The sequence below is a fragment of the Homo sapiens genome, chromosome 1 (assembly GCF_000001405.40).
Source record: "Homo sapiens chromosome 1, GRCh38.p14 Primary Assembly".
Classification (NCBI taxonomy): Eukaryota; Metazoa; Chordata; class Mammalia; order Primates; family Hominidae; genus Homo; species Homo sapiens.
The window spans coordinates 111,970,015-111,989,988 of NC_000001.11; the positions used below are offsets into that span (position 1 = coordinate 111,970,015).

Here is a 19,974-nt window from a genome sequence, read left to right on the forward strand (position 1 = left end):
CTCTCTCTTTTTTTTTTTGGAGATGGAGTTTCACTCTTGTCGCCCAGGCTGGAATGCAATGGCGCGATCTCAGCTCTCTGCAACCTCTGCCTCCCAGGTTCAAGAGATTCTCCTGCCTCAGCCTGCTGAGTAGCTGGGATTACAGGCGCCTGTCACCACTCCAAGCTAATTTTTGTATTTTTAGTAGAGACAGGGTTTTACCATGTCAGCCAGGATGGTCTCGAATTTCTGACCTCAGTTGATCCACTCACCTCAGCCTCCCAATCCTTCTCATTTTAAACATTCATTTGTTGATCATGTGTTGCTCTTACTAAAAGGTCTACTTCAGATAATTTGCCTGTTCTGTTCACAGATACGTCTTTGGCCTCCAGCATGATGCCTGTTGCATGGCAGACCCACAACATTTGTTGAATAAACAATCAAATGAATTAATGTATTTAATTTTTCCACCAAAATGATCTTTTAAGGGCCAGCTGAAATGCCACCTCCTCCAAGAAGCCTTCCCTGATCCTTGCCTCCTCCATCTTCTCCTCACACTTTCCTGTCCTTGACTCACGCCTCTGACATTGTTGAGCCCAGAAATGTATAGCCCTGTGAACACAGGCATTTCTCTTACTGGACTAAAGCTCCTAATGAAGCCAGTGGACTCTAATGAAGTCAAAGGACCTCAGTCTAAACCCAGTAATGCTACTACCATGTGGGAGCTTGGGCACAATGTTTTAATCTTCTCATAATCTTCTCATATGTAGAATGGGAACCTAACATCCACCTCGAGGGATTTAGTCCCCACCTCTTTCTCTCTTTGCAGCCCCTCATATCAACTAGGACTGGGTCATCTTCATAGTGTCAGCTCCATGCATGTTTGCTGAATTAGTGAACCATCACTTCCCCTAGTTTCTTACCAAGGGCCCAAGACAGATGTCTCCTAGAGGGGGCAGGTCACAGGATGCTCCCAGTGATACCAGCGGGTGCATCTGACATTTTTCTCCAAGGGAAAGGAAGGAGTAAATGAGAGAAGTGGTGTCTTAAGTGTCTGGAAGTTCTGCCAAGAGCTTGGCACTGCAAGAACCAGGACAGTGTCACCCACGAAGGTAGTACCACTCTGAAGTAGCATCACCCTTGGACAAGGAGAAATGGTCCTTGGTCTGTGGCCATTTAGACCCCATGTGCCATCCACATGCCAATGTAAGGGTCCCTTTATTATTATTATTATTTTAGCAAAGCTCATAAATTCTGCTTTCTTGGGTGGGTACTGTTTGTTTAATAATCATTGCAGGAGGCAAAAAAAAAAAAAAAAACACCACAAAACAAACAAACAAACAAAAACCCTTGTTTTACTCAGAAACCCAGTGTGACCTTTTGGCTTCAGCAGAAACACAGTATAAAAGGGAATTTCCACAGGTGAAGATGAGAGACTGAATCCAAGCTTCAGCAAAGCTGTTCATAGACAGCACCAAAGTTCCTACTGGGGGCAGGTGCCAGAGAAGTAGGGCACAAGGCAGGAAATGCTCCCCATGCCCTCTTCTCTTCCCTCCCTTCATCTTTCCCTGGCCAATCTCATCTATTTTTTCTGCTTCAGCTGATGATTTTGGAAACGGCCTGTTTATCCTTTCTCCCTGCTAAGCTCCAGACCCATCTTTCCACCTGTCTGCCAAACACCTCAAGGACACCCAGGGTTAACTGCAAACACTACAGGTCCAAAGCTAAGCTCACTGGCTCTGTCTTCCCTCTTGACCTCCTGACAACCTGTTCCTTCTCTAAGGAACTCCAACCTCCATACCTCTACTCATGCCAACTCCACACCTCTACTCATCCAGTCTTATAATTCCAGAGTTCTTTTGACTTCTCTTCCGGGGTGTCATTCCATTCCAGTCCTTTCTCTTCTGTTTCATTGCAACTGTCTTAGTCAAGCCTTCTTTATCTCTTACCTGGCTTAATCTTCTGGCTGACTTTCCTGTGTCCAAGGGTTCCCTTCCACATTCATCCAGAAGACAGCTGCCAAATAAATCTTCCTGATCAATACACACTGGACTACCTTTAGTGGTTCCCTAATGCCTATCAAATGAATTCCTTAGCCTAATATTTTAGGCTCTCTGCATCTCTGTCAAATATTTTGTTACTGCTTATCTCTAGCTATTTTCCTATTTGTATATCTTTTTTTTTTTTTTTTTTTTTTGAGACGGAGTCTCGCTCTGTTGCCCAGGCTGGAGTGCAGTGGCGGGATCTCGGCTCACTGCAAGCTCCGCCTCCCGGGTTCACGCCATTCTCCTGCCTCAGCCTCCCAAGTAGCTGGGACTACAGGCGCCCGCCACTACGCCCGGCTAATTTTTTGTATTTTTAGTAGAGACGGGGTTTCACCGTTTTAGCCGGGATGGTCTCGATCTCCTGACCTCGTGATCCGCCCGCCTCGGCCTCCCAAAGTGCTGGGATTACAGGCGTGAGCCCCCGCGCCCGGCCCCTATTTGTATATCTTAAACACTAGCAAACCAGCATATTAGTTAAGCTTCCCAAACATCAAGCCCTTTTGCAATTTATTAGGATTTCCCATTTCCACATATCAAAATCCTATTCACCATTGTTGGTCTAGCTAAAATCTCTTTACCATGAAGCCAATCGTTCATTCATCAACAAATGTTTATTAAGCATTTATTCTGTACTCCTGATCTTTTCAGCACATGCCCCATTCTCTCTTGTACACTCTCATGGACATACTCCAATTCCCCACTATATTGACAACTTCTTAGGGACAAGCCTCATGTTTTCTTTATTTCTCTATCCCCCAAAATGCCTACTAATATGCCTTGCAAATTCAACTGGATGTTGAATAATGTTTGTTGAATTGAATCAAGATTTGTGCTGTCCATGGTTTTGATATCATTTAGTTTAATTCTCTTAGTTTTCTTTTCTGCTTAAGTATGCGTGTCCAGGAAGAAGTAAAAATAAACTAATGATACTCCTCAGCAGCTATAAGCCTGTAATTATGGTTAACTCTTGGTTATCCATGCCACTGGGAAAATAGCACTGGAAAAATTCCCACATCAAGAATCATAAAAACATTATTTCCATCAGTCTTTGACATGCATTGTTTAGTTTTTAAGCAGCTGATTTGCCTTTTTAATTGTTTGGCTGATCAGTTAATATTTGCATTTACAGTCTTTCAATAACTGGCTGGGAAATAGAGATGGAAGGAAAGATGGAGGACTATGCCACTGGGAGAAATCCAGTTCAGAGTGAAACATTTACTTTGTACAACCTCGAAGGCAAGGCTCTGGACAGCTGGAACATCATAGGCACTTGGAGTGTGTCAGCAAGGCCCCATGGTTTGGCCATTTCTTTTGGATGACTGCAAAGGGTAGAGATTTCCCAGTCTCCTAAACAGCCCACTCTGGTGTCCAGAATTTGTTTTCATATAAAGAAGATAACAAAGTTCTACTGGGACTGATAAGGTTCTGGGATGGAGGGAGGGCTATGTTTCCAGTCCTGTTGGGATCGGAAGTTGCTGGCTGTGCCACTGGAAACCACTGGGTGCAAATCAAAGAAAATGTGGTTTGCAATTTTGCAGTGATAGCTAGATAATGTAGGGGGGAAGTTCCCCTTTTCCACTTCTGAAGCAAACAAATATCACATGTGGTAGATTCGGCAGCTGCATTAGTTGGAGAAAATTGATGCACATTTCTTGTGTCAGGGAGCTGAATCCCAAAGAATGGAGCCAGCCTCCCAGAAAATGGTTTCTTTATATAGTTTCATCCATTTATTGTTTGATTGGACTTTCTGTATATTAAATTCAAGCTGTTCTGCCACTCATGGGTATTATGATGCGTTGGCTCAGTGGGAAATAATGAGGGTGATAGGATCTTACAGCATCACATTACAAAGGAGGCGTCCCCAGCCTCATCCATCTCTCCATCAACTAGCTTGTGTATGAGGTGGCACTTATATTAAAATGATTTTTCTGATTCAGTTTAATGACACTCATTCGAGTCCTGACACCCAGAATAAGATTACATGAGCTAAATGCAATCTTCCTCCATCCAGTCATGGTCAGCAAAGGCTCAGCTATCTTCCCTCTCCAGTCCCCATCTTCCCATACACCCATCATTTGCATTGAGCTAGTTGGAGGGAGGTAAGAGTGGGGAAAAGATGCCTGTGTTCTGGCCGGAGAAAAGCAGGCTGGACAGAGGCTGGAGTCTGAACTTGTTCTGGAGGTTGTGGCAGCTGAGCCTTCTGGCAAAAAACTTTGGATACCCAAAAGCATTGTGGGAACTCCTTCCTGCTTGTCACTAGAAGTTGGTTTGAGGTCAATACTGTGCACTTCTTCCAAATAAATTTCTGGGGGTCTGGTCCCTGTTTCCCAGATTAAAAAAAAAAAAAACTTGGACATCACTAGAGGATGAACACTTAAGGTATGAGTATTTGGTAGAGTATCAGCTTCCTGGAAGTGGTTGGTTGTGTGCAGAGCCACCTGCCTGAGGATAGCGGGTGGGAGGTGAGGAGACTCAGAGCTAAAAGTCTCTGCTCCTCTCCCTGATGGGAAAGAGCTCCCAGCTACAATGGAGCATGGACAAGAGCCCTGCAATGGCCTGGGACAGGAGCTCCCTCCTGGGTGGGAGAAACAAAAATACTCAAGTAATTACTGAGGGGCATTTCCCTCCTCCTGAAGATGGAAATGCTGCCTTTTATTTATACTATCTTGAGGCAGAATAATTGCTGCTCCTCAGGAGGAATCCCGGTTGTGTTTAATGGGTGTGTTTAAAGAGGGAAACCCAAACAAAACCAAACAGAGAGATACAGAGAGAGATTGGGATTGATTTTGAGGGATTCCAGAAAAGATCTGTGAAATGGGCACCAGCCTAGAAATCCCTTTCCAAAAATTGCAGCAATTTGAATTGCTGAATCAGAAGACAAATTCAAAGTGATGCTCCCGGTGTGAAGCACCCAAAAGGCTCAAATCCTATGGTGTGAATTAATCTTTCCCTTCTCTGCAGCCTGAAGCCCTCTGGCTTCCTCTGCTGCAGCTATCATAGCTGCTGAGTTTTAGAGTGGCCTCTCTGTTTTCGTGTCTGTGTCAACACTGTCCTCCTCATGGCAGGGATAACTGTGCCCAGCCACTTGCCAGGTGCTCAGTAAATGTTGCCCGGGTTGAAAGGAAAGTTCCACCCAGATACAGATGCTGCCTGCTTACTGTCAGCATCAGGCCTACTCTGAGATGCTGATGCTACAACTCAGGTGCTCTGGCTGGTTTGTTACATTCTGAGGTCTCGGCTGCCCCTGGCCTTGAAGCCATCCTGCGAGGCCTTGAGGTTTCTTCTTGTGAAATGCTTCTCCCAGGGGTAGAGAAGATCTTCAGGACTGTGTCTTCTGAGCCAGTCCCCTGTTGTGGGAGCTGGTGAAGCTTGGTGGGAGCAGGACCAACAAGCACTTCCTGAGAAAGCTTCCTGGTGCCTCTACATTCAAATACACGCAGAATTGCTTACTTCTCCCATCTCCACTGCCACCACCCTCAGTCCCAGCCACCTTGATTTCTTGCCTGGATTATTGTGTTAGCTTCTCTCTTACAAGGTATTTACTATCTGGCAGCCAGAGCAATCCTTTAAAAATGCAAGTCAGTGGCTCAAAACCCTCCAGTGACTTCCCATGCCAAGCAGAGCAAAGAAAAAGTCCTTGTGGTGGTCATGAGGACCCTACATGAGCTGCTTCCCCTGTTACCTCTCTGGCCTCATCTCCTGGTACTCTCCTGTCTCCTGCTCTTGCAGCTTGACCATTTGGACCTTCTTACTTTTTCAAGAACAGCACACCAAGGTCCCTCCTGCCTGTTGGACTTTGCCTGTTGGACTTTGCATCTGCTATTCCCTCTGCCTGGAATGCTGCTCCCCAGGCTATCCTCATTCCTTCAGGTCTCTGCTCGAATATCTGAGAGGCCCTTCTTGACATCCTAACATGAAATAGAAACTATCCCTTGCTCTGCCCAGGCCCCCACACTCAGCACTCCATACTTGTCATATCCGGCTTTAATTTTCTCTGCAACCTGATAAAATGTATTTATTTATTTGCTGTTGGGTGCTGTCCACTAGAATGTAACCTCCACAAGATCAGAGACTATTTTCTTCTCTGCTGTATTCCCAGTGTCTAGTAGGTACTCAATAAACATTTGTTGAGTAAATAACTGAATGGAGAAAAACATCATGGGTAGAGGGGCTTACCTATGGCTCCCCTTCTCCTCCTCCCTGGCTCCAGAGTCTGCAGGAAAAAGCGTAGCCAAGTAGCCAAGAGTTGGAGGCAAACTTCCCTTGCAAGAAAGCCCCAACCCTCCTAAGCCTAAAATCAGAACCACAGAATGCCCTGCCTGGCCTCCCTATCTCCACTCTGTCCACAAATATCATGTCTGCCATGACTATATAGCTAACATTTTGATAGCACATTCATCGGTTCTCATATCGCCAGAAGATGGTTATCAAATGAGAAAACTAAAGCTGTGTAAACAAACGAACCTGTTTGAGTGAACAAATACTTATTGAGACACACTATATATCAAGCTCTGTGTAAGGCATGAATCATGCATGATCTCTGGAACAGAGAGCTCACATCCTGGCGGAAAGACACATAAACAGCTGAAGTTAACAAAATGTGTCAATGACAAAACAGAGTAATGAAAGGGCTACAAGAGGAGGCAAGAGAAGTGTACCCAGCTCCTGGAGGTGACGTGGGGCTGAGTTTGAAGGATGATGTGTATCAGCCAGACACAGAAGCAGAGTGAAGGGTAGTCTCTGGAGCACCAGAAAGAGTGCTCAAGTTCAAAGGAAGACAACTGGGTCTCATTCAATTCATGTTGCCTGTTCCTTACATTGGCTGATGTGCAATCATAGTGCCTGTGTATTCTCAGAGGCTGCCATGCTGCCTGGAGTGTAGGAAGCACTCAATAAGTGTTGAACGAATGAAAGATTCCTTGTTGAGATGCAGTTCTGCACCCTCTCTTAAGAATTTCAGCACCAGAGAACTGTCAACAAAGAAATGTCAACAGAGAAATGTCAACAAAGAAAAGGCTTTGAGGTCGTTTGTTCCCAATAGGTGTCCTAAGATCCAAGTCCCCTAGGCAGGGGCCCACCCCCAAGTAGGTGGACACTATTAGCCAGTGTCCTGGGGCCAAGGTGCTTGGGCATTGAGAGGAGCACTGATGGGCTCCGGAGGCAGTAGATAAAGGTGCAGATAAAATTTCAGGTATTTAAGGGTTAACAAAAGCAGATCTCAGACTGGCTCCACTTCTGGCACTGTGGGGAGGCTTATCAAGTACCCCATTCTGTGGTGTGCCTGTATTGATCTCCCAGGCTTAGTCTCCTCGCCTCTTCGAACCTCAGGCAGGCCCCTTCCAGGATTATGTTTTAAAGTGAAATGCAAATCACCTGGAGGCGGCTTCCTGCTTGGAAGAAGTAAAAATCAATTCCGTTTTCATTAAAGTGATTTTTGGACACTGTCAAACGCTCTCTCATCTCAGAGCATGGGGTGACAGATAGGCTGCCGGTCTCAATTACATAACTGAGACAACCAGTAGCAGTGAGCCATCTCATCGGGATCGGACACTGCTCTGAACCCTTCCCTAGGATACCCAAGAGCAGCCTCATCAAAACCAGGCCTGGGACTGGCCTCCCATGGTCCTTGCGGATGCTCGCTTGCAAGGCTTTACTCTCACATGCTCTCCTCTTTCCCAGTCCCTCCTGAGCTTCCCCCATGGACTGTCCGGGACAATCATGATGCCAAACAAAGTCAAATGAAGTTAAGAAGGGAAATCTGCTTTGAGAGAGTTTACATCATATAATACATTCTCAAAGTAGTTAGGTTGGTCTTATTTAATATTGGGAGTTCTATGTTATCCCTTCCCTCTGTTAACTGAGATAATTGAGGATTTATTTTATTTATAGCATCAATTATGAGGATGGAAATTAAACCTCAAATGGAGCATTTGGGAACTCAGCTGTCAGGGGGCTCAAGGGAAACCTGGGCAAAGCATAAAGGGTCTTCCCCAGTAGTGCAGGAGGCTGCATAGAAAAGCCATCCTCAAGCCCTGACAGCAGCTGGGCTGTTATTGTTCTTGTGTGCTTAAGGTATTCTGAGATATTAACTAAACGGTAATAATTGGTTCCAGGAGATCCCTCCCTGGAGGACACCTGAGTAACTCATCAACGAGGTGCTGGGAAAGCAGGCAGAGAGGGCAACCAGAGCAGGAAGAGTGAATGCCTTTACTCCACGTATCAGCTCTCTGTGCATCAGTCGGCCCTGCTCTGCAGAAGAGCTGGAGACATTCCCGCTCCAGACTGGAAATAGGAACTCAGGGAAGGACCAGGGAAGGGAGTGTCTGGAGAAAGGAAGAGGTAGATATCTGCTGTGAGCTGTTAGAAGCAACTGAATGATGGCAAGATATTGGTCCTTGGTATTCCATGGCCACTTGGACTCAAATGCCAGTGTAAAGGAAAAAATGGGCTTTCTGGAATGGTTGAACAAGGCTACAACTAACCATGAATGTGGTCAGGACAGAAACTAGCCATGGAAGAGGGAAAAGTTTCCAAGGTCACGTCAGTGAAACCTCCAGTAAAGACAAGAAGATCTCCACAGTACTGCAGGGCAGCCCAGGGAATAGATCATACACCAAGTAAAGGCTGCTCACCTCCCTCCTGGGGGACCAGGGCTGGGGCAGAATACACATATCTGAGGGGGCTGCAGGCTGTGCAGGCTGAAATCTTAGGTCTACCTTCTAGAGAGGACAAGTAGGTCTAGAAGGGACTGAGAATAGTATCAGGTCAAGCAAATGGAAGAGGCACTCCATTCACACTGGCTCATCCACTAAAAAGCATTTTGCCAAGTGCTTGCTATGTATAATCAAGCAACGAGCCTGGTAATGGTGTCAACTGCCAACTCAGGTCAAAGTCAAAGTAGCCTGACCCAGCAATGACCTACACTAGCTAGGAAAGAGGGAAAGAAAAAGGTTGCTTTCTCATTACTTATCTGAGTTTAAGGAAGACACTACTAAAGGTTTCCTTTCTTGCCCATTTGGTTCTCCTCCCAGAAGCTAGACATTTAAATGCATGGGGAAGGTAAAACAAACTTGTTCATTGTCAGATGTGGGGTGAGGGAACCCACCAGGTCCACGTTCAGGGAAAGCATGCTTCTCCCTAGTGCAGGCACCTTTCCTTTCACCCTCCAGCAGAATCTATCAGTTCCCTCCCAAGAAAGTAAAAATGAGACCAAGATACTCCACTTTGATGCTGGACTTGCCCCTTAATCTACAGGGTGAATGACAAAAGAAGTCAGCGGTTTCCCCAGAGCATTAAAACATGGATTAATCACCATTAACTTCTAAGTCAGTATTTAAACTGCTCAGAAGGAAATGTTTTATTTTTAAAATCTCTGTGTGTCTGGTACAGTGCCTGGCATATAGTACTCATTGGGCTGATGCTTTCTTGACTGGCAATATGACTAGAAGAGAATATCACACCCTGAGGCCATAATAAAAAAGTAATAACCCTGAAGGTCTGATTTCTACCTAGGGGCCCTGATGGCATGGGAATGAGTAGTAGGGTGAAAGGAGAAAGGGCATTGGAGCAGCCAGATTGGTATTTGAAAATTAGTTCTGCTCCTTATCAGCTACGTGACTATGGAAGTTTATATAGTCTCTCTGAGCCTCAGCTTCTGCATCTTTATAGGGTACAGAATTTTTTCCAACCTTGCAGGGCTGTTGTAAAAACTTAAAGAGATAATATATGCAAAGTTCTTAGTACACTGCTGACATATAGTAGACAATCATATGCTGTTATACTACTAATAAAAAGTAATGAGTAGGTGGCTATCACCATGCCTGTTTTCCTCCACATGGCTATCCTGAAGGATCTCTCTGATGTCATGAGTCCCATCAAGGGGCATCTGAGGGCACTGGGCAGTCAGAGCCACATCAGGAGCTTGACTAGAAGTGGAAGTGAGGTGTCTGGCCATGGGTGAGGTCCCCTTCAGGAAGGTGAAGGGATGGCTAGGGTCAGCCTAAAAGGGATAAAGACGACCTCTTGACAGCACAAGCTCTCCAGTCCATTTTATCTCCAAAATACCCCACTGTGCCAAAAAGCCCACATCTGCCACCTGAGCCAAGAGAAACAAGGTCAAATGACCAAACATTCTTACCCACTCTGGGTGAGCAGCCATTTGAAGAGTGTGTGTGTGTGTGTGTGTGTGTGTGTGTGTGTGGGTTGGAGTGGGAGGAAGGGGCAGGGTGGTTCTGTCAGACAGATAAGAAGTAAAGGGAATGCCCCAATCAAATGTGGCCTTCACAAATGGATGGTGACACCCTTGCTCTTCCCCTTGCTACTCCCTCCCTCTTGTGTGTGGCAGAATGACAAATGTAATCATTTTAAAAGGTCTCGTCACCTGCTCAGTCATTCCCAATAAGCATACGCAGCACTATGGAAAAACCAACACTATTGCCTCTGGGTTTTGGCCAGGAAAAAAAAAAATCAAATCACCAGGACACCACCAACCACACTGTCAAAGACAAAATAAAAAGCTTCATGAATTCTCCATCAGCAATATAACGCTTCCTAGCCTAAGCAAATATAGACCCAGTATATGAATTGTGGAGGGATTTTGCATTAGGCTCCATGGTTTCTAATAGCTGAGGCAGAAACCCCTAAGAAATCTATGTTTCCATAAAGCCACCTTTATTGGCTATAATCCTGCTAGGGTGAAGACTGTAATCTCCTTCCTGAGCCCCCTTCCTCTGATGGAAAGCTTCACATCCCAGCATCATGAATACATTTCTGTGACCTCAGCTGGAGAGGAGACCTCGGAGAGACGGAATTACCATGACCTCACCGAGCACCTGTCCCTCCTTCTGATGATATTGCTGCTTCTGTGTCTGACCACATGATCCATTCAGACCATCTCACAGTCACCCAGGTCATTCAATCACTGACTCAGACTAAAAAGCAAGACTGATACTGCTTTAGAAAGAAAGAATAAACCACGTGCCTTACTGCGAAAAATCCAGGTTCAGAGTCACTTAGAGAAAGTCTGCTCAGAGCTACTGAACGCTTGAGTGTCTGTGGCAGCACAGGAGAAAAGCATAACAAATGGGAAAATGGCCTGCAAAATATACTACAAAGAAAAAATGCAGAAAGGATCCAAAAAGAGTGCTCTTGGTGTCTTCTGGTAATGGACATCTGAACCCTCCGAACTTCTCAACAGTCTCCTCCCTCCCCAACAACTGCCCTGACCTTCTCCCCACGCTGCCCCATATGCGCAAATGCATATACAAATGCAGACATCACCTCACCCCGAGACTTCACACGCACACAAGGCATGGCTGAAAAAAGAATTGGTGACTTAATTTTCTTAGCTCTATAAAACACATGCCCCGACCTCAAAAAGAAAACTCAATTCCCAGCAAGCTACCACCCCCAAACAGATGACTCATGGGCTTTACCCTTCGGATAGAGCAACTTCCCCTGCCCCCAACACTTGGGTAAGGGACTCCCTCCTCCTCTACCCATGGTGACACCATCCAAGGTTTCAGAGGTCATCCAGCTGCCCTCCAACCTCCGTCCTGGTTTCATCCACCAGCGCTGACTTACCCCAGTGTGGTCATGGTGACAATGGTGTACCAAAACGAGGCAGGGATGCTTGTGAACTTGCTGGCCGAGGAGCCCTTCTCGGCATAAAACATCACAGTGGCAAAGATGATGATGGCCATGGTGAGGGAGAAGAGAAGAAAGCCCAGTTCGGAGGCACAGCTCTTCAGTGTGTAGCCCAGGATCCGCAGGCCCTGGGAGTGGCGGGAAAACTTGAAGATCCTGAAGACGCGGAAGACCCGGAGCGTGACGAAGGCGCCGGACACGTCCTCGTTGTTGGTCATGACCAGACCGATGTAGTAGGGCATGATGGCCACCACGTCGATGATGCTCATGACGCTGCGGATGAAGCGGTAGCGGCTGGGAGCCGCGAAGAGCCGCAGGAGGTACTCCACGGTGAAGATCATGACGCACGCCGTGTCCAGGCAGAAGAAGGCCACCGAGTAGCGCTCCCCGCACGGCAGCTCCTTGCTGCCCGGGACCGTGCCGCACGGCACCGTCTCCACCACGTTGGTGATGACCGAGACAGCGATGAAGAAGCCAGTCACGTAGTAGAAGACCAGGGCCAGCGTGCTGGTGTGGGGGTTCTCGAAGGCCCGCCACATGGTCTGGCGGAAGCTGAGCGAGGGCATGGACTCCTGGTTGTTCTCCGAGTCGTTGTCGTCCATGAGCCGCTCGGCGTTCTCCCTCTTGCGGTCCTTGTACTCCTCGTAGCAGCAGTCCCCGATGATCTCCGGGAGGATGCCGTAGAAGGCCAGCTCGTCGTCGTAGGCAGAGATGCACTCGTAGCGCGGGTAGTGCAGCTTCCCCGTGCGGTAGAAGTTGAGCACGCAGCGGAACACCTCGGGGTCCCGGTCGAAGAAGTACTCCTTGGTGTCCTCGTTGAAGAAGAACTCCTTCTCCGTGCTGCCCAGCAGGGTGTCCGGGTAGCGCTCCAGCGTGGTCCTCCAGGTCTGGAACCTCCGCCCACTCACGTTGAGGACAATCAGCTCATCCTGCCGCTTGTTCTTGTCGGCCGGGGCCAGGGGCATGGGGCAGTTGGCCACCGGCATCCACCCGATGGCCGCAGCCCGGGCAAAAGGCAGCCAGGCCGCAACTCCGGCCGCCATGGTGACTCCAGCTCTTGGGCCGGCAGCCGCGCGGACGCTAGGCACACCAGCTTGGAGTTAGTTCAGCAAACCCTGGGAGACAGGAGGGGAGAGAGAGAAGCGGTGAGTCCATATCGACTGGCAGGTAAGAAATGGGACACAGGAAAGGATCACTGGTGAGTGAAACGGCCAAAGTCTCCAGGGCAGATTAATAAAACTGAAATCCCCACCACAGAGAGGGGACTTGATTCTTTGCCATCCAGACACTGGGAGAACACCTAGCTCCTGGAGCTCGGCAGGGTGGGATCGCCAGATGTTGCTGACTGCCTGACAAATCGTCAAGCTCCAAGAGGGCTCAAGAGCATTTGGAGGGAAGGCCTCTTTAGCAGGAAGATCTGGCAAGACGTGGGTAATAATCAGCTCTGAAAGGTTATGGCGTTATTACCAATTTAAATTGGGAGAGGGTAGATGAGTTCTCATTAAATGAATTTAAAAGTGGGATAAACATGCTAATTTTTATTTCACTCTTTCACCCACTGGGGTAATCAGGAACGGGGTGTAGATGAGTGAGATCAGGTAAACAATTCTTTCTACTCCTCCCTAGTGAGGAAGAGGCTGGGGCTGCCCAAGTCCAGAAAATTCTCTGAGATGGCAGGTGACCACCAGGATTGGTGAGGTTCTGTCCCCAACTCCCATGGAGAAGGCTCTCCCTGGCAAAGTGCTACTCTGAGGGACACTTAGCCCCTACTCCTTGCCCTAGCAACCTAGTATCAAATTTTTCCCCTCAGACCCTCAGAGCCATGATGGAAAGACGTGGGAAGGGTTGTGAGGCTGGGCAGGGTCTCTTTCCCTGCTCTGTGAAGGGCGTCTTGGCTTCTTGGTTCACCTGACTTCCATGCATCGTCTCTCTCCCTCCCCAGAAGAAGCCGATCCGCGCTCACTGCCGTCCCTAGATTCCTCTCCTCCCATCTCCATCTGCCCACCATCCATAACTCCCTCAGGTTATATAACAACACTCCTTCCCATACCAGCCTCTCTCACCTGGTCCCCACTCCACCCTCAGAGATTTTTCCAGAGCCAGGCTACCCTGTCCCTTCACCTCTCTAAACCACACTGCATAAGCACTTCCCCATTACCTGTGTGGACAGAGGGAGCAATGGCACGGAGAATTATATTTGGCTTTGGGAAGCAGATTTACCTTCCCAAATCTGGCTTTTTAAAGATGATAGTGAAATCACTCTGCAGTCCCCAAATGTATACCATCTGTGGGAAGGCATGTGGTGACACGGAAACACACGTAACAGAAATTGGAAATTGTTTGGGGTTGACACACTCATCTCCACTAATCCTAAACTGATCACACAGAACAAATCCTAACTTGGAATTATTTGGGCCCTCTGGAATTCAGCTGCTGTGATTCTAAGTTTAAATAAACGAGGAAGAGGTGAGTCTTGGAAAATTTTTTCTGTTACACGAAGACTTGTAATGGGAGTCGATCTTCATCTCTCCCTATAAACCTGCTTCACCTTCTCCTGACTCCCAACTCTTTGAGTTTTTTCAGATCTCTACCTCCCTCAAACTCCTGAGCTGCCACTGGACTTTTCTGCTCAGATGCCTCTGAAGTGGACAGGTTTAAACAGAACCTGCCTCCTTGTAAAAAGCTGCTGTTCGCCTTTTCTTCATGACGTCCCTAACTGCAGGGCTGTCACCTTGACCATTTTTCTCTAAAGAGTTGCCAAATAATAGGCAATAGTTCTTACTGCCCTCATGAAGGCCCAAACTCCCTCTGGCCTCCTTCCCACGGGCCTTCTTGTCTCTCACTCTCACACCCCACCCGGTTTCTCCTATTCCCCTGAAATCCATTCTGCTCAGTGTTATCTCCCTAAAGCAAGGTTCTGATTGTATTTTACCCCACGACCTACAAAATAAAGTCCAAACTCCTTGGCCTGGCATTCCAGAATTCCCACAAATAGATCCTAGCTTCATACTCCAGCCCAATGGCCCAGGCACCCATCCTAGTATCCAGCAATAAGACCAAGACCTGTTCATGGACAGACCCTGGGGAGGTCTGCCTCTGGACCACTCCTCCCTCTCATGAGAATATCCTTCCCCTGGACCCCTCCTATTAGAATCCTACCTATTCATCACTCTCTCTGTGATGCTTCCTCCTCTCCTCACTATGAGATTCTCTTCTTCCTTTGGGCTCTTGACTCGTTGTTTGCCCCTCTTCCCTAGCACCTATCACCCCGCAGCTAGGATTACACACACTTTATATACATCTTAATTAATAGTAATGACTAACAATTGAGCACTTACGCTATGCAAGGCATTACACTGTCTCCCATGGATTATCTCATTTAACCCTCACAGCAACCCTAGGAAGAAGAGTCTGTTGTGTCCCCCATTTCATAGATAAGGAAAGCTAAAGCTTACTGAGACATAGCAGTCTGACAACCCCAAAGTGGCAGAATAGGGATTCCATCTCAGGCAGTCTGCTGAGGGCTGATGGTGTGCCAGGCACAGTACCACACACTTACATGGAGCGTCTCAAGAGATCCCACCGACAACCCTGAGGGGTAGACACCACTGTAGGCCATGTTTTGCCCACAAAAGAAAGATGAAGCATAAGGAGTTGTAATAATTGTCTAAAGGATGTAATAAGTAGGCGGCGCCATTAAACCCAGGCAGTCTCAATGTGGAGTTCAAGAGTACAGCCAGACCACTTCCCAACTTTCCCTATCCCACACTAAGCTCTTTCGGGCAAAGGCCGAGATGCCTCCACTTTTGTATCACAACCCAGGAGGCAGCATAGTGAACTGCATCAGTAGGTGCTCGAGCTGGGACCCCTGGTTTTATATGTGCCATTTTTTTTCCCATCAACTTTACTCTATGCCTTGCTAATATATTTCAGGGGTTGCCAAGGGTGAGCGTTCTTTCTCCAGAGTAAAATCTGAAGACAGATCTGAATCAGAAGAATCCAATTCAAGTATCTGCCTCTGACTCACTCAGTCGAGTTTTCTAAAGAAGCCAATCTCTGCCTCAGTTTCCCCATCTGCATGCTAAAGGAAATTGTCACAGGTCCCTTCTCTCCCTAATAAAGGGAGGTTGAGTCAGATGCTGCAGAAGACAATAGGAATGACAATGACATTTCCCGTAAGCGTCACTGCTCAGAGAACAGAAAAACAGCACAGGCCTGATGAGCTGATTACTGGAACTGAGGAACTGAGGAACTGAGGAAAGAATGGAGGTCGTTCATGCATGGCAGTGGGTAATCCACATGCTACTGATAGAAGAGTCAGGAACACATCCTGCATTGTATTTCTTTCTAGAAGAAATTTACCCTTCTAACTATACTTTGTTTAGGATTAGGAGACTTAGTAGTTCCTCAGCATGCACTTAGCTAGGATTTATTTCTAAGGGGCAAGGGATGTTTGAGAAGCAAGCTCACAAGTTCAACTCTGTTCCAATTCAGAGTTGGTTAACATTTATTGAACACTGACAATGCTCTGGACACTGTCTGAGACACTTTTACACACAACATTTAATTTATTCCCACTAAAATCCTATGATAAAGGCTTTTCTGCCCAAAGGTTACAGGTAAGGAGAAGGAAGCTCAGAAGTCTCTTTCAAAGTGGCTAAGTTCTGTGTATATGGGAGCTGACAATTTTCAAACAGACCATTGATCACCTCACTGCCAAATGGCTTTCCTGATCTAGGTGTTGCCCAATACTGATGTTCCCAAGAGAAGACAGCAAGATGCAGAGATTCCTTTCCCTGTCTTCCCCAGGCAGCAATGAGCAAGGGCTCATGAGGCCTTGCAATTCCAGTTTCAGTCCCATCCTCAATTTGTGAAAGCAAGCCATGATCACCCTCTGGGCCTCAGAGTCTTCCTCTGTAAAATGAGAAGAATTGGACAGGAACATGACAAAAGACCCTTTGGCTCAAATGATCCCTGATTCCACTGGATCCAGGACATCAAGTCTATAGCTTAGGTCTCATTGAGACCTCTTAATGACAATCACCCATGCAAAGAAGGAAGTAGAGCATCTGGGCTTACTGCTGTGAGGATGGAGTTAGCCTGAGCCTCAAGGTAGCAAAGGGAGCTCTGGGAATTCCTGCTGAGGCTGGTGCTCAGCACAGGGCACACAACCTGTGTCACTTGGAAACCAGGGGCAATCCAAGGCCTAGTTCACCCACAGAACCCCTGGCCACCTTCCTAGAGAGTAAAGGAGACCAAGCTCCCAGACTCTGAGCCCTGGATCTTTGACCCTTAATATCCTGTTTTATCCCAGAATAAAGCTCAGAGAGGCAGAATCTTGAGGGGGTTCAAGAGGCAAAAAGTAAGAGATCACTGAATCAGAGGCACCCTGTGGAACCCTGTGTGGCCAGACACACAGTTCTGCCCCCTGAAAGGGTGATGCCCTTCCCCTTTCATTCTCCTAGTCCTGCTCTACCCTGATTCCCAAGCTTTAATGCCAGGTACCTGCCCCTGCCAAGCTGAGTCCCATCACCTTCTCCTCTCTACCCTAAGCCAATCTCCAAGGACCACCAGTCCTTTACAAACTGCTTTCAGATGAATAATTGAGAGCTCAGGGGAAGGAAAAATTAACCCCTCCCTATCTTGGGACCATAAAAGCTTCTGGTCCCACAGCCAAATGTTTACCCCATGCGTGAATCCAGGGCAATCTTCCTAAAGAAGGCCAAGCAAGCACCAGGCTGTCTCCAGAGGCTCAGCCCCTGTCCCCCTGGTAAAACATACCAAAAAAGGAGCAATTACCCCATTGTTACTTTCTCTGTGTGTGGGGGTTGGGAGGTGAAAGGGGAGGACAAGTGTCCCACCAGATACCATATCCAAGGCCACACTGGCCATACCCACCCCACAACACTGCAGGAATGACCCACTCAAGTAGGCCTTCTCCACAGCTCATACAGCAGCATTCACCCCCTGACAGGAGCCAACACCTTCCGGAGCTGGCCTGGGTATGAATTCCTGCAACAGGCACAACAGTGCGGCCCCATTTCCAGCCAATGGCACTGCACATGCCTCAAATGCCAAGGTTTTACTAGGACGTGGACGCCTTACAAATGAAAAATCTGAAGCTATTTTTGTTTTTGGCAGAAGAGTTTGACAGTGGGAAAGATAGGGGGTGGGGGGAGGCTGGAAAAGAGGCATTCAAAACAGGTAAGCTCTGAAATGAAAAAGGTGACAAATCCTGGCAAAGGAAAACATTTTCCCCTGCTGTAAAAAGTCAGTTACTCCATTAAACAGCTTCTATTTTGGAGGTAAAAGGCCAAAAGGGGGTGGAGTGACCAGACAGCTTGTCCTGGGGTTTGACACCTAGCTGAGTACAGGCATAAGGCAGCAAAAAAAGTCATGTCACCAAGGTCTGTCCTTCAATGACCTCAGTGGAGAGCCTCTGGAAACTTACTTTCCACAATCTCACATCACATCCCCTAGCTCAGAATGGGGCTGGTCTGGGGGCAGAGGAAGGTGCCCATGACCCGGAGGGCTTCTCCTGTGTTCACAGGATTTTGGTAGGCAAAGCATGAAACTGACAAGGTGAACCAAGCTGGGGATCCTTGGGGGACAGGCTTGGGACACACGCACAGATCCTCTTCTCCAACGGTGCCACTCCTAGGCTAGCCAGGGCACTTTCCTGAACTCTTTTTCTCCAGCCTCCTCAAGAGCAAAAGGGAACAAGCTACTAACCTCTTTCTCTGGGGGGTCCCTTGTATACTTGCATTTTGTTGCATTCAAGTAGAGACGAGGAAAAAATAAACACATCAGTTCCCTTCCTGTGTGCCAACAGGTCCACATGGGGAAATGTACACATGCTTTGTATTGAATTCGTGGACACCCAGGAGCCCTTTCTACAGACAGTAAACATACAGGCTCCCTCGAAGTAAGGTAAACAAGGCATACATTTGACCATCACGTACATTCATGCAAAATACAGCAACGCATGCCTGGTCTTACAAACAGATCGCATTGTGCCTAGGACCCCGAGAAAGTTCAGACGCTCTCTCTTAAGAAATACGGACCCTTTTTCTTGCAGTGCGATTTCAGGTCTGGAACCTCAGCCTGTTGCTGACATATCAGGGCTGCCCGGGATAAAAGCAGAACATCTCGGATCCTATTCAAATGTCAACACTAAGCAAGCGCAGGAATTTAGTTGAGTCCAGGTAACTTTGCCCAGTCCCTTCCCGTCCCCCACCTCCAGTGTAAACACCTCGCAGAGTGAGTCTTTCGATCCCTCTCCCCGGGGCCGCGACGGCCCTTGGCGTCACGTAGAGACCTTTCCCAGAGCTCGCGGGGTGGAAGTGGCGTCGGGCAGGACCAGATGGACTGGCCCCCAGCCTCTGGTAGACACACCGCCGGCTCGCCGAGCTGGAGAACTTTGCGAAGCGCCCCAAACCGCTCCGGGTTTCCACTTTCAGCCATTTCTCTCCTTGTCCCCTCACCAAGAGCGGGGACGGAGCAAGCCTTCGCCACCTGTCTCTGGCACCCGCCGAGGGAAGACAGGCCAATGGAAAGAGGGCAGAGGTTCACACCCCACCCCCGAACCCCAGCGCCTGGCTGCCCGGAGGTGGCTCCACAGCCCGAGGGAACCGACGCCCCCGGGCCGGCTGTCTGCTCCCCCACGGCACGGGCCCCACCCCCAATCCTTCCGGCGCCCCAGCGCCCACCCACCCGGGCGCGGGAGTGGGAGGGTGCCGCGTGGGCAGCCGGAGCAACAGGCGTGGGAGCAGCGCTCCTCGCACTTCCTGGCTCCAGAAGGCTCGGTCGCGTCCCTCTTACCTTCCGCGAAGCCAGCCCGGGCCCCGCGCCCGGCGCCCCGCGCGCGCGAGGAAGCTGCGGCCGGGAGCCGGGGCCGCGGAGGCGCCGAGCGCCCAGCAGCGCGGGGAAGCGCCCAGCAGCCGCCGCTCGCGCGGCTCCTCCTCGCCAGCGCAGTCTCGCTCGCTGCCTCCCTCGCTCGGTCGGTTCGTGCGTCCGTCCGTCCGTGGGGCCCTCCCTCCCCCGCCGCCACTGCCGCCGCCACTGCCGCCGCCACTGCCGCCGCCGCCGCTGCCGCAGCCTCCGCCGCTCCAGCCCCGGCTCGGCAGCGCGTCCCCTCCCCGCCTCGCCGCTCCGCTCGCGGGCTCGCGGGCTCCCTCGCTCTCTCCCTTCCCCCGCCGCTGCCGGCGCCGCGCCGAGCGGAGCCCGGCCGGCCACGGGCTGCCTCTCCCGAGGTCCCTTTCCCGAGGGGGGGAGGTGGTGGGGGCGCGGCGCAGGCGGGGCGGGG

The 19,974-nt window shown here is 48.9% G+C and overlaps 1 protein-coding gene across 12 annotated transcripts in view; it reads right to left on the reverse strand.

Moving 5' to 3' along the window:
* Positions 1-19,654, reverse strand: part of KCND3 (potassium voltage-gated channel subfamily D member 3) — a 219,007-nt gene extending 199,353 nt beyond the window's left edge. For 6 of the 12 annotated variants that reach the window (NM_001378970.1, NM_001378969.1, XM_011541427.4 and 3 more), the window contains exons 1-2: positions 19,491-19,654; positions 11,607-12,784 (exon numbers count right to left, since the gene is read on the reverse strand). In NM_001378970.1, coding sequence (NP_001365899.1) covers positions 11,607-12,712 — 1,106 coding nt within the window. In that variant the 5' untranslated portion in view covers positions 12,713-12,784; positions 19,491-19,654. Of the gene's footprint in view, positions 1-2,616; positions 6,995-11,606; positions 12,785-18,733; positions 19,161-19,490 lie in introns of those variants that run through there. The other 6 variants (NM_172198.3, NM_004980.5, XM_011541425.4 and 3 more) reach the window with 5 other exon arrangements.